Raw genomic sequence first — 12,301 nt, forward strand, 5'->3', positions numbered from 1 at the left:
AAAAAAAAAAAAGGACGACGACGACTACACTTTTGTGGCTGGACGCAGTGGCTCACGCCTGTAATCCCAGCACTTTAGGAGCTGAGGCAGGTGGATCACCTGAGGTCAGGAGTTTGAGACCAACCTGACCAACATGGAGAAACCCTGTCTCTACTAAAAATACAAAATTAGCCAACCATGGTGGCACATGCCTGTAATCCCAGCTACCTGGGAGGCTGAGGCAGGAGAATCGCTTAAACCCAAGAAGCGAAGTTTGTGGTGAGCCAAGATCGCGCCATTGCACTCCAGCCTGGGCAACAAGAGCGAAACTCCGCCTCAAAAAAAAAAAAAGTCAGTGCTAAAATGAAAACATTACTACGTGAAACCCAGGGTAACCAGGGGTAGGTGAGCCTTGCTTCCTTTACTCCATGGTGGAAGCTAAAGTGCCCACCTGAAGGTGCACAGCCAGGTAAGGGTCTGGGGTATAGGCAGGTCAGGCCCACACGGGGCCTGCAGGGCAGGCGGCTCATTACTGCCCCCTTCTGACAAAGGCCTCAAACCAGAGGTCAAGCACCAGGTGCGTGTGCTCCACCCTCACCTCAGCTGGAAAGCTGGGTGGGACAGAGGTGTCTGGGCAGACTGTCCCCAGTCATAGGGCTGCAGATGCCACTCATGGCTGGGGGCCACCACCTGGGGCCTGCAGACACTCGGAGCTTCCTTCAGGAGCTCAGCAGAGGCTGCCTTGGCCAGGAGTAGACAAGGGACAGGGGTTGCCCTTCCCGGAAGGAAAGGAGAAGCGGGTCTCCTTATGGCATGGGGGGCGGGGGCCTCACACCAGGCAGCCTTGAGGGACAAAACAGGCACGTGGATGGGTGTGGGGCCTCAAAGTCCAGGCACAAGCACACATAAATGCCTCCTCTTTCCATGGGGGACTCTGCCAAACAGAAGCTCAAGCAGCCCTGCTTCTCCTCTTTTTTTTTTTTTTGAGAGGGAGTCTCGCTCTGTCACCCAGGCTGGAATGCAGTGGCGTGATCTTGGCTCTCTGCAACCTCCACCTCCCGGGTTCAAGTGATTCTCCTACCTCAGCCTCCCAAGTAGCTGGGATTACAGGTGCGTGCCACCATGCCTGGCTAATTTTTGTATTTTTTAGTAGAGACGGGGGTTTCACCATGTTGGCCAGGCTGGTCTCAAACTCCTGACCTCAGTTGATCCACCTGCCTCGGCCTCCCAAAGTGCTGAGATTACAGGCGTGAGTCACAGAGTCTGGCCCCTGCTTCTCCTCTTTGACTTGCTGCCTAAGGCAGTTCCGGCGAAGTCCCTTCAACCCACAGACACGCCACTGCATCTCCAGAAGAGGGAAGGGTGGGAGGAAGGGCTGTGCCAAGGAAAGTTCCAGCAGCACTTGCAGGCCCCCAAGCAGGACGGGGGAAGAGGCCAACAATGGCCCTGAGCTCCCAGCCTCCATTTTGGCCAGGGGCAGGGGACTGACCCAGGAGGCTCCTTGTGCAGCCCACAGACCCCCCCTCCACCGCAGGTAGGAAGCTCAGCAGCGCTGGGAAACCGCAGTGAACCCAGCCCAGCTGAAGGGAGCAGAGGGAAGCCACAGGAGCAAGGCTGGAAAGAAAACCAGGTGCCTTCCTCCCTGGGGACTAGAGCAGGCAGGGGAGTGCCCTGGTCCGTCAGGGGACCCCAGCTCACGCAGGCCTGCACTTCCTATCCCAGCTTCGGCTGACCACCTAATCTTGGGGGTCAGTAAGAGCCAGGCCAGGTGGGTGCCCTACTGCCCTTCCTGGCTGCATGACACCAGCCAGCCTGCTGGGCACAGGGGCCGAGTCCCCTCTACCCACCCTTCCCTTCCAAATGTCCCTAAACAATCCACCCACAGTGGCCCCTGCACGGCCTAGACATGCCCATGACTGGCAGTACCTGCTCAGCTGGAAAGCCATGGTGGCTAGGACATCCCAGGATCAGATGCAGAGAAAGGCGAGGGAGCAGGGAAGCATCACAGAGTCCTTGCCTGACCCAGGACTGTCCCAGCTCCCTGCCACACCGGGCTTGGTGGGGAGCACCCCCCACCCCCAGCTTCCTGAGCTGCCCAATCTGGCCAGGAAGAGGCTGCCTCGCCAATCCAGAGCGTCTACCAGAAACCGGTCGTCATGGAAACCTTGCTTTATAAATAATTACAGAAGAAGTAATTCTGTGAGCTCTTCTGGCTGCCATGCCAGGAGATCAGGAAGGCAGAGGGGCCGCTGCTGAGCGGCCTCAGGGAAGCGGCTATGAGGCTCTGCCTTCTCTGACAGGGCACAAGACCCCCTAGTCTTTCTCCAGGGTCTCAGCCAAAGCCAGGTCTGGCCCCACTGCCGCCTTCTAGAGCTCCCTGAAATGTAGACAGGGGAGGAAGGTCACAGGCCAGCAAGGACTCCAGCAGGTCCAAGCCTGCATCCTGCTGATGGAGCTGGCATCTAAAGCCTGTCCCAAGGGCCAGCTCCCTGGCTGAAGCAAAGTGGACAGGCGGTCCAGCCTCCCCTCTCCTCAGGCCACACCCCTGTCCTTCCCCACTCCCCCTCTTCCTTCCCCCAACCCCTGCTTCAGAGGATGCCATGCCTGTCTTGGGGCTCAGCAACTCCACTACCCTTCCTCCACTCCCGCGGGCTCTTAGGCTGCCGGCTGCCACCTGTGGGCCCTGTGCCCCCCAACCCGTACTCTCTTCACTCCGCCTCCCCTTCTACTGGGTGTCAGGAAGAAAGAAAGAGGCCAAACAATCACAGCGGCCAGGGTGCAGGCTACAGGAGGCCCAGTGCAGGAGGCGGGATGTGTTATCACCACAACCTCCCCCAATGCTGCCCCCACCAGGGCTGCTTTCCCAGGAATCCTGTGACCAGCAAGGGAAATGGAAAGTCCCCAGCCAGAGTGCAGGCCGCACAGCCTCAACCAGGCTGCACCCGCCGGCCTCTGGGCAAGTTTCACATGTTTAGTTGTGAAAGAGAAAGTTAGGGCAGAGAGGGCTGATTAGGCCACTCCCACTGGAACAGCCGGCCCTTATCAAGGCCCTTATCAAACTGCCAGAGCCTGGGCTTATTCTATCTAACCAGCTGGCAGGCACTGAGCCTGGGAAGTCACTCTGGTAAAAGTTAAATAGGTAAATTATTACTAAAAGGATGTCCTTTCACCTATGTGCAAAAATAACAAGTCCTAAAAGGACAAGTCCTCTCACCTATGTGCAAAAAGAAAGAAAAAGTCATTTTCAGCTTACAAACCCCACACGCACTGGGTCCCACAGGGAGGCTGGTGCTGCCCCCGCCCAGGGATGCTTAATGTCTAGAAGCCAGCAGAGGAGAGGATTCTAAAGGGATCCCACCGACCCAAAATGTCTGCCCGGAGGGGAGGTCAGAGGGCTGAGTCTGGCCCAAGCCTGGCAGCTAACCCTGGCTGAAAATGCCCCCTGAGCCCTCCCCACCCAGGCAGCCTGCCGGGGCCCAGGCCCGGGCCATCAGCCTCCTCAGCCCCCTGGCTGCCCATCTCGGCCCATCTTCCTGAGTAGCCGGCATCCCAGGGCCAGGGTCTTGAAGCCACAGCGTCTCCCACCCTGGCACACAGGACAGGTCCTCCCAAACACACTTCCCTCCCCTGACCCCAAATAGCCCATAGTTCCTCTCAGCTCCCAACTCACTGTTTGGCCTTCTCCCCAAAACAGGCCCTGTCGACTTCCTTTCTGAGGACGTTTAGTGACAAGCTTCTCCGAAGCAGGAGCATCGTCTCCCCACGTCTCCTGTCGGCTCCCTCCAGAAGCTGCAGCCAAATGGAACTCAAGGAATGAGCCTGGGCCCCAATACTGTGCCCTTTGGACTTGGCCTCATCCCTCCAGGCGGGCATTGCTGCCTCCCTAAGCAACCCTTCCAGCTGGTCCCAGTCCAGGTGTGCTAGGCCCACCACCCACCCCAAATCAGTGAGGACCTACCAGGCTTCCACAGCAACACAGATTCAAGCCACAACCAGATGGTCCCGCAAAGAGGAAGCACTTCTCAGATAGCTTAGCCTTATGAGTAAATAATCTCAAAGTTAAACAACTACAAGGTGCTATTTCCCATCTAGTAAATTAAAAATCATTTTAATTGACAAAACGAGATGTCTAGAAATGTTCATAGCAGCATTATTCACAACCACCCAAGGATGGAAACAACCCGGTGTCCACCACGGATGGGTAGGTAAACAAAATACGATAAATCCATACAATGAGATATTATCTGACCATAAAAAATGAAGACCTACAGATCCACAGTAATGCACGGACCAGCCTTGAAACCACCCTGGGTGAAAGAAGTCAATCACAAAAGGTCACACGCCATCTGATTCCATGTATATTAAATGTCCACAACAGGCAGATCTACAGAAACAGAAAGTCAGCTGGTGGGGGGCAGGGGCTGGAGGAGGGGAAATGGGAGTGACTGCTAATGCGTGCAGGTTAATTCCGGGGGTGATGAAAATGTTCTGGAATTAAATCGTGCTGGTGGCTGCACAGCCTTGTGAATCCATTAAGGTTCACGCAGAATTGTACAATCAAAAAGGGTAGACTCAATAGAGTTATAGCTCAGGAAAGCTGTTATAAACTACAAACAAGGCAGGGTGGAGTAGTTCACGCCTGTAATCCCAGCCCCTTGGGAGGCCGAGGCAGGCGGATCATCTGAGGTGAGGAGTTTTGACACCAGCCTGGCCAACACGGTGGAACCCCACCACTAGTGAAAAGAAAGTTAACCAGGCATGGTGGTGTGCTCCTGCAATCCCAGCTACCAGGGAAGGTGAGGCAGGAGAATCACCTGAACCCAGGAGGCGGAGGTTGCAGTGAGCCAAGATCACGTCACTGCGTTACTGCATTCCAGCCTGGGCAACAGAGCGGGACTCTGTAAAAATAAATAAATAAATAAACTACTAACAACTGGATGCCAGAAGCTGTGGCCCCTCCCTACATAAGCACTGGCCATGTGGGTGACACATGGCAGGAGCCCTCGAAACGCTCTTACCTTTGCCACAGAAAGGCACTCCCAAAATCTAAAGAAAAACACACACAGCTTGGCAGAGATCTGCAGATGTGGCATCCATCTCTAACCCAAAACAAAGTAGAACTGGCTCAGTAGGCTGTGAGCATCCCTAAAAACATGCTCGAGGTTGTGTCTGGTTTCTACTTTTCTGGGGAAAAGACCCAGTTTTCTGCAGCTTTCAAAGGCATCTGGAAGCTAAAAAGTCAAGAGGTGGGCTGGGCATGGTGGCTCACGCCTGTAATCCCAGCACTTTGGGAGGCCAAGGCGGGCGGATCACCTGAGGTCAGGAGTCTGAGACCAGCCTGGCCAACATGGCAAAACTCTGTCTCTACTAAAACTACAAAAATTAGCCGGGCATGGTGGTGGGCGCCTGTAATGCCAGCTACTTGGGAGGCTAAGGCAAGAGAATCGCTTGAACCCAGGAGGCAGAGGTTGCAGTGGGCCAAGATTGTGCCATTGCACTCCAGCCTGTGTGACAGAGTGAAACTCCGTCTCAAAAAAAAAAAAGAAAAAAAAAAGTCAAGAGATGGCAGCACCTCTTCCCCCATCCCTCCCATACCTACCCAGGCAGCCAAGCATATAGAAAGAAGGTAGGAAATGAGACAGGCACCTAGAACTCAAAAGCACACTGAGCCCAGCTCATCAGAGGGCACTCGGAAGAGAGAATTCAAGGAGAACTCCGCAACGACATGCCCTAGAATGGGAGGCCACATCCCTCTCCCCAACCGAAACTCACTGCCTCATGCTAGAGGAAGCTGGTAGGGTCAGAAACTTACATCCAGGCTCCAGAAAGATCTCTCAGAGCTCAATGTGAAAAAAACAAATGACCTTTGGCTAGGCGCGGTCGTGCACGCCTGTAATCCCAGCACTTTGGGAGGCTGAGGTGGGCAGATGGCTAGAGCTCAGGAGCTGGAGACTCTTCTAGGCAACATGGTGAGACCCCATCTCTACCAAAAATCCAAAAAAATTAGCCGAGCATGGTGGTGAGCACTGCGGGTGGCAAGCCATCCAGGTGCCGAGGCAAGAGACCAAGGGCATGAGCTTTTCCAGTATAATAAAATATATAAAACAGTAAGAATTATACTAGATCTAGATCATAGACGTGATTATATATGAATATCATTAATCATTAATTTGTAGCAATTACTCTTTATTCCAATATTATAATAATCCTCGCTCTATAATCATAACCTAGGAAAAACCAGGCTATACAGAGATGGGAGCTGAGGGGACATGGTGAGAAGTGACCAGAAGACAAGTGCGAGCCTTCTGTTATGCCCGGACAGGGCCACCAGAGGGCTCCTTGGTCTAGCGGTAACGCCAGCGTCTGGGAAGACGCCCGTTGCCAGGCAGACCGTGGTTCCAGCAGTAGCGTCAGTGCCAAAGAAAAACACCCGCCACTTAGCAGACCAGGAAAGGGAGTCTCCCTTTCCCCCGGGGAGTTTAGAGAAGACTACTCCTCCACCTCTTGTGGAGGGCCTGACATCAGTCAGGCCTGCCCGCAGTTATCCGGAGGCCTGTCTCCCTGTGATGCTGTGCTTCAGTGGTCACGCTCCTAGTCCACTTTCATGTTCCATCCTGCACACCTGGCTCTGCCTTTTAGATAACAGTAGCAAATTAGTGAAAGTACTAAAAGTCCCTGATATGCAGAAATAATGGCGTAAGCTGTCTCTCTCTCTCTCCCTCTCTCTCTGCCTTGGCTGCCAGGCAGGGAAGGGCCCCCTGTCCAGTGCACATGTGACCCACGTGACCTTACCTATCATTGGAGATGATTCACACTCTTTACCCCTCCCCTTTTGCCTTGTATCCAATAAATAACAGCACAGCCAGGCATTCGGGGACACTACCGGTCTCTGCATCTTGGTGGTAGTTGTCCCCCGGGCCCAGCTGTCTTTTATCTCTTTGTCTTGTGTCTTTATTTCTACAATCTCTCATCTCCCCACATGGGGAGAAAAGCCACCGACCCTGTGGGTTTTCTGTGGTCCCAGCTACTCAGGGGGTCCCAGCTGCACCTGTGGTCCCAGCTACTCAGGGGGCTGAGGTGGTAGGATCACTTGAGCTGGGAGGTCAAGGCTGCAGTGGGCCAAGATTGAATTCCAGCCTGGATGACAGAGCGAGACCTTGTCTCAAAAAAGGCTAGATGCAGTGACTCACACCTGTAATCCCACCACTTTGGGAGGCTGAGGCAGGAGGATCACTTGAGCCCAGGAATTCCAGGCCGGCCTGGGCAACAAGACGAGACTCCACCTCTAGAAAAAAAGAAAAGATATTCAACATCATTAGACATTAGGAAAATACAAAAGTAACATCTAAAAGCAATTATCGGCGAGGTGTGGTGGCTCACACCTGTAATCCCAGCACTTTGGGAGGCCAAGGCAGGTGGATCACCTGAGGTCGGGCGTTCAAGACCAGCCTGACCAACATGGAAAAACCCCATCTCTACTAAAAATACAAAATTAGCTGGGCGTGATGGTGCATGCATGTAATCCCAGCTACTCGGGAGGCTGAGGCAGGAGAATCCCTTGAAGCCGGGAGGCAGAAGTTGCAGTGAGCCAAGATCATGCCATTGCACTCCAGCCAGGGTGACAGAGCAAGAGACTCTGTCTCAAAAAAAAAAAAAAGCCCAGCATTTGGCCTGGCGCAGTGGCTCACGCCTGTAATCCCAGCACTTTGGGAGGCCGAGGTGGGCAGATCACGAGGTCAAGAAATCGAGACTATCCTGGCCAACATGGTGAAACCTCATCCCTACTAAAAATACAAAAATTAGTTGGGCGTGGTTGCGCTCACCTGTAGTCCCAGCTACTCGGGAGGCTGAGGCAGGAGAATCACTTGAACCCGGGAGGCGGAGGTTGCAGTGAGCCAAGATCACGCCACTGCACTCCGGCCTGGGGACAGAGCGAGACTCCATCTCAAAAAAAAAAAAAAAAAAAAAAAAAAATTAGCCAGGCATGGTGGTGGGAGCCTGTAATCCCAGGTACTCAGGAGGCTGAGGAAGCAGAATCGCTTAAACCCGGGAGGCAGAGGTTGCAGTGAGCTGAGATCGCCCCACTGCACTCCAGCCTGAGCAACAAGAGTGAGACTCCGTCTCAAAAAAAAAAAGGAAAGGAATGAATAACTGATACATGCAACCATGTGGATGAATCTCCAAGTAATCGTGCTGAGCAAGGGAGGCTGGACAAAAAGAGAACTGTGCAAGTCCATGTTTATAAACTTGGAGGAAACACAAACTATAGTGACAGAAAGCAGATCAGAGGTTGCCTGGGGGCAGGGAGGGACCAGAGAAGCAGAGGGCCTCAGCAGGGTGACAGGTCTGTTCACAGTCTCGGTCTTGATTGTGGTGAAGGCTTCACAGGCTCACACAGGCATACCTCAGAGATATTACGGGTTTGGTTCCAGATCACCGCAACAAAGCACACATTGCACTTTATAATAAGTCACATGATTTTTTTGGTTTCCCAGTGCACGTAAAAGTTACACTGTAGTCTATTAAGTGTATAATAGCATTATGCCTTAAAAAAAAGTATATACCTTCATTTAAAAACACTTTATTGCAATCGGGCATGGTGGCTCACACCTGTAATCCCAGCACTTTGGGAGGCCAAGGTGGGTGGATCACAAGGTCAGGAGATCGAGACCATCCTGGCTAACACGGTGAAACCCCATCTCTACTAAAAAACAAAAAATTAGCCCGGCATGGTAGTGGGCGCCTGTAGTCCCAGCTACTCGGGAGGCTGAGGCAGAAGAATGGCGTAAACCCGGGAGGCGGAGCTTGCAGTGAGCCGAGATCGCACCACTGCACTCCAGCCTGGGCAACAGAGCAAGACCCCATCTCAAAAAAAAAAAAAAAATTTATTGCTAAAAAATGCTAACAATCATCTGAGCCTTCAGTGAGTGGTATTCTTTTTGCTGGCAGAGTCTTGCCTCGATGTTGATGGCTGCAGACTGATTCATATTGTTTTGGGGTTTATTTTTTTTTTTTGAGACAGTCTCATTCTATAGCCCAGGCTGGAATGCAGTGGCACGATCTTGGCTCACTGCAACCTCTGCCTCCCGGGTTCAAGTGGTTCTCCTACCTCAGCCTCCCAAGTAGCTAGGATTACAGGCACGCGTCACCACGCCCAGCTAATTTTTTGTATTTTTAGTAGAGACAGGGTCTCACTATGTTGGCCATGCTGGTCTTGAACTCCTGACCTCAGGTGATCCGCCCACCTCAGCCTCCCAAAGTGCTGGGATTACCGCCCGGCCTGCAGACTGATTAGGATGGCGACTGCTGAAGGCTGGGATGGCTGTGGCAGTTCCTTAAAATAAGACAACAATGACATTGACCACATCAATTGACCCTTCTTTCCACAAAATATTTCTCTGGGCCAGGCACGGTGGCTCATGTCTGTAATCCCAGCACTTTGGGACCCCGAGGTGGGAGAATCGCTTGTGCCCAGGAGTTCCAGACCAGCCTGGGCAATATAAGGAGATGCTGTCTCTAAAAATAAAAATTAAAAAATTAGCTACTCATGGTGGCACTTGCCTGTGGTCCCAGTTACTTGAGAGGCTAAGGGTGGGAGGATCCCTTCAGCTCAAGAGGTCAAAGCTGCAGTGAGCTGTGATTGCACCACTGCACTCCAGCCCGGGTGACAGAGTGGGAGCCTATCTCAAATAAAAAAAAAAAAAAAGATTTCTCTGTAGCATGCAATGTTTGATAGCATTTTACCCACAGTAGAACTTACTTTTTTTTTTTTTTGAGACAGAGTCTCACTCTGTCAGCCAGGCTGGAGTACAGTGGCATGATCTCGGCTCACTGCAACCTCCGTCTCCCGAGTTCAAGTGATTCCCCTGGCTCAGCCTCCTGAGTAGCTGGGACTACAGGTGTGCACCACCACACCAGGCTAATTTTTTGTATTTTAGTAGAGATGGGGAGAACATGTCAGCCAAGATGGTCTCGATCTCCTAGACCAGCCCAGTAGAACTTTCAAAAGTGGAGTCAGGCCGGGCGCGGTGGCTCATGCCTGTAATCCCAGCACTTTGGGAGGCCGAGGCAGGCGGATCACGAGGTCAGGAGATGGAGACCATGATGGCTAACATGGTGAAACCCCTTCTCTACTAAAAATATAAAAAAATTAGCTGGGCATGGTGGCAGGCACCTGTAGTCCCAGCTACTCGGGAGGCTGAGGCAAGAGAATTGCGTGAACCCAGAAGGCAGAGCTTGCAGTGAGCTGAGATCGCACCACTGCACTCCAGCCTGGGCGACAGAGCGAGACTCCATTTCAAAAAAAAAAAAAAAAGTGGAGTCAGTCCTCTTAAAACCTATGTTGTTTTATCAACTAAGTTTATGGAATATTCTAAATCCTTTTGTTATGGGATCTTTGGGGTATCCCTTTTCTGGCCAGAAACCTCTGTGTCTTGTGGCACCTTTGCCTAAGTTTTGCTGGGGCCCACTGGGCTTATTCCACCCACTCAGCCTGGCAGGCTGCGCTTGGCTCATGCTACCAGCCTGGAGCTCCCATGCCTGCCAAGGACAAGCCTGGTGTGGAGCAGCGAGCAGTGTGTGAGTGAGCATGGAGTACGGCCACTGCACAGTCAGACATGCCAGCTGCTGCTGCAGGGCAGGCAGCTCCAGATGCTGGCACAGGTGCTGGTTCTCTGCAAGGCTGCACCTGGACCAAGCGCACCTCAAGCAGCTTGCCTGGTTGGCACACGGGAATGCTGTGGTGCCTGGAAGCTTGGTGACGCCAGGAACTGCAGGGCCCCAAAGAGGGAGTCACAACCCTGACTCAGGGAGCTCCCAGGTCTGGACTCCCCAAAGGGCCACAGCTCTTCTTTCCTTCCCTTCACTGGCAACGTGGCAAGAAGGGGCATGTTTCAGCCCTGTTTGTGTTACAGTTCTTTCAGCCTCACCATTTGGCAGGTCCCGAGTTCTTGCCCTGTGACCAGGAAGAATGAGGTACGCAGAAAAATGGAGAGTGAGCAAGACAAAGAGGAGCTTTATTGAGTCACAGCCAGGTCATCCCAGTGAGTGTTCAGCTCTCAGCAGAGAGGGTAGCTCTTCTTTGCAGCTGGTCATCCTGTCATCTTTCTGTCCTCTGCTCTAGTCTGGCTGAGTCCGGGGTTTTTATGGGCCTCAGAGTGGAGGAAGTGTGTGTTGACTGGTCCATGGGTGGGCCAGCAAAAAGCACCACAAGCTTCCCCTCTGGTCCTCGGGACTGGCCAGCCAACCCCCAGGCTTCAGGCCCTCCCCAGTTTGAAGGTGAGGCTTCACTGGGGACCAGACCCCTTCTACCCAGGAGCCTGTCTGTCTCTCGCCACTGTTCATGGCATCCAGGCTGTTTGTGCCAGCCTATCCTCAGCCCCCACTTGGCCTCCCTCCCATGCCTGTTGGTGCCCAAAGTCTGAAGGGCACCATCAGCAGGGTGGGTGCGGTGGCTGCACCGCAGTCCAGGTCCCCAAAGTGAATGCCGCTCCCACTTCCCGCCCCAGGGCCCTGAAGCATAACCCAAGCTCTGCATCCCAGGCCCAGCCCCCACACTCCATATGCAGGTGCAGCATCACCCCAGGCCCAGCTCCACCTTGGGGCCCCTCTCTGCCCGCACCTCCATGCCCAATCATGCTGCTTCCCCACCAGCAGGCAACTCAGCCTGGCCCCGTTGTGGTGGCTCCCAGGGCAGTGGGCTCTGGGAGACTCCCAGGGGTAGACTCCAGGGACTGACTATTTCCTCTGCACACCCCTCCCCACAGTGAGAGCGGGTAAGAGCTCTGACACTGAGCCAGGGTCTGGAGCGGCAAGGCTCCAGGCCTGGGAGCAGGTCCTGCCTGGCTGTGCAAGGATGGGGGCGGTGCAGTCAGCTGCCCGGGGAATGCAGGGCACAGGGGACCCACTGCTGCCACTGCTGCTGCCACTGCTGCTCCCACAGCTGCTCCTGCCACCACTGCTTGCACCACCCCACTGCACCTGGCGTGAGGGCAGGGGTTGCTCCAGATGGCCCACCATTGCCATTACTTTCTTGTCATTTCAGCAATGTTCATGGCATCTTCCCCAAGACTACATTCCATCTTAAGAAACCACTTTCTTTTTTTTTCTTTTTTGCTCTGTTGCCCAGGCTGGAGTGCAATGGCACAATCTTGGCTCACTGCAACCTCTCCACTTCCTAGGTTAAAGCAATTCTTGTGACTCAGCCTCCTGAGTAGCTGGGATTACACACACATGCCACCACATCTAGCTACGTTTTGTATTAGTAGAGACGAGGTTTCACCATGTTGGCCAGGCTGGTCTCGAACACCTGACCTCAGGTGAT

At 53.4% G+C, this 12,301-nt stretch overlaps 1 protein-coding gene across 5 annotated transcripts in view, besides 7 other annotated features; it reads right to left on the reverse strand.

The window, feature by feature from the left end:
• ACOT7 (acyl-CoA thioesterase 7) overlaps nucleotides 1-12,301 on the reverse strand; it is a 129,496-nt gene that overhangs the window by 92,649 nt on the left and 24,546 nt on the right. The window contains exon 1 of one of the 5 annotated variants that reach the window (XM_047443399.1): nucleotides 3,938-3,957. The exons of 2 other annotated variants lie outside the window; for them this stretch is intronic. Coding sequence is in view for 2 of the 3 variants with exons in the window: in NM_181865.3 (NP_863655.1) it covers nucleotides 3,650-3,732 (83 nt within the window). In the remaining variant the exon portion in view is untranslated. Of the gene's footprint in view, nucleotides 1-1,905; nucleotides 2,010-3,649; nucleotides 3,795-3,937; nucleotides 3,958-12,301 lie in introns of those variants that run through there. 2 more of the 5 variants (NM_181865.3, NM_181866.3) reach the window with 2 other exon arrangements.
• Nucleotides 180-1,147: an enhancer, noted in NCBI's record as "H3K4me1 hESC enhancer chr1:6417160-6418127 (GRCh37/hg19 assembly coordinates)". NCBI's record gives its function as "activates a minimal SCP1, AML or CMV promoter by ChIP-STARR-seq in primed H9 embryonic stem cells {active_cell/tissue: H9 hESC(primed)}" and the evidence as "EXISTENCE:reporter gene assay evidence [ECO:0000049][PMID:30033119]".
• Nucleotides 1,848-2,027: an enhancer, noted in NCBI's record as "active region_77". NCBI's record gives its function as "activates an Ori minimal core promoter by ATAC-STARR-seq in GM12878 lymphoblastoid cells {active_cell/tissue: GM12878}" and the evidence as "EXISTENCE:reporter gene assay evidence [ECO:0000049][PMID:35858748]".
• Nucleotides 2,138-2,187: an enhancer, noted in NCBI's record as "active region_78". NCBI's record gives its function as "activates an Ori minimal core promoter by ATAC-STARR-seq in GM12878 lymphoblastoid cells {active_cell/tissue: GM12878}" and the evidence as "EXISTENCE:reporter gene assay evidence [ECO:0000049][PMID:35858748]".
• Nucleotides 2,208-2,437: an enhancer, noted in NCBI's record as "active region_79". NCBI's record gives its function as "activates an Ori minimal core promoter by ATAC-STARR-seq in GM12878 lymphoblastoid cells {active_cell/tissue: GM12878}" and the evidence as "EXISTENCE:reporter gene assay evidence [ECO:0000049][PMID:35858748]".
• Nucleotides 3,138-3,187: an enhancer, noted in NCBI's record as "active region_80". NCBI's record gives its function as "activates an Ori minimal core promoter by ATAC-STARR-seq in GM12878 lymphoblastoid cells {active_cell/tissue: GM12878}" and the evidence as "EXISTENCE:reporter gene assay evidence [ECO:0000049][PMID:35858748]".
• Nucleotides 7,627-8,126: an enhancer, noted in NCBI's record as "H3K4me1 hESC enhancer chr1:6424607-6425106 (GRCh37/hg19 assembly coordinates)". NCBI's record gives its function as "activates a minimal SCP1, AML or CMV promoter by ChIP-STARR-seq in primed H9 embryonic stem cells {active_cell/tissue: H9 hESC(primed)}" and the evidence as "EXISTENCE:reporter gene assay evidence [ECO:0000049][PMID:30033119]".
• Nucleotides 10,799-11,579: an enhancer, noted in NCBI's record as "H3K27ac-H3K4me1 hESC enhancer chr1:6427779-6428559 (GRCh37/hg19 assembly coordinates)". NCBI's record gives its function as "activates a minimal SCP1, AML or CMV promoter by ChIP-STARR-seq in naive H9 embryonic stem cells {active_cell/tissue: H9 hESC(naive)}" and the evidence as "EXISTENCE:reporter gene assay evidence [ECO:0000049][PMID:30033119]".

Source organism: Homo sapiens, chromosome 1 (genome assembly GCF_000001405.40).
Source record: "Homo sapiens chromosome 1, GRCh38.p14 Primary Assembly".
Classification (NCBI taxonomy): Eukaryota; Metazoa; Chordata; class Mammalia; order Primates; family Hominidae; genus Homo; species Homo sapiens.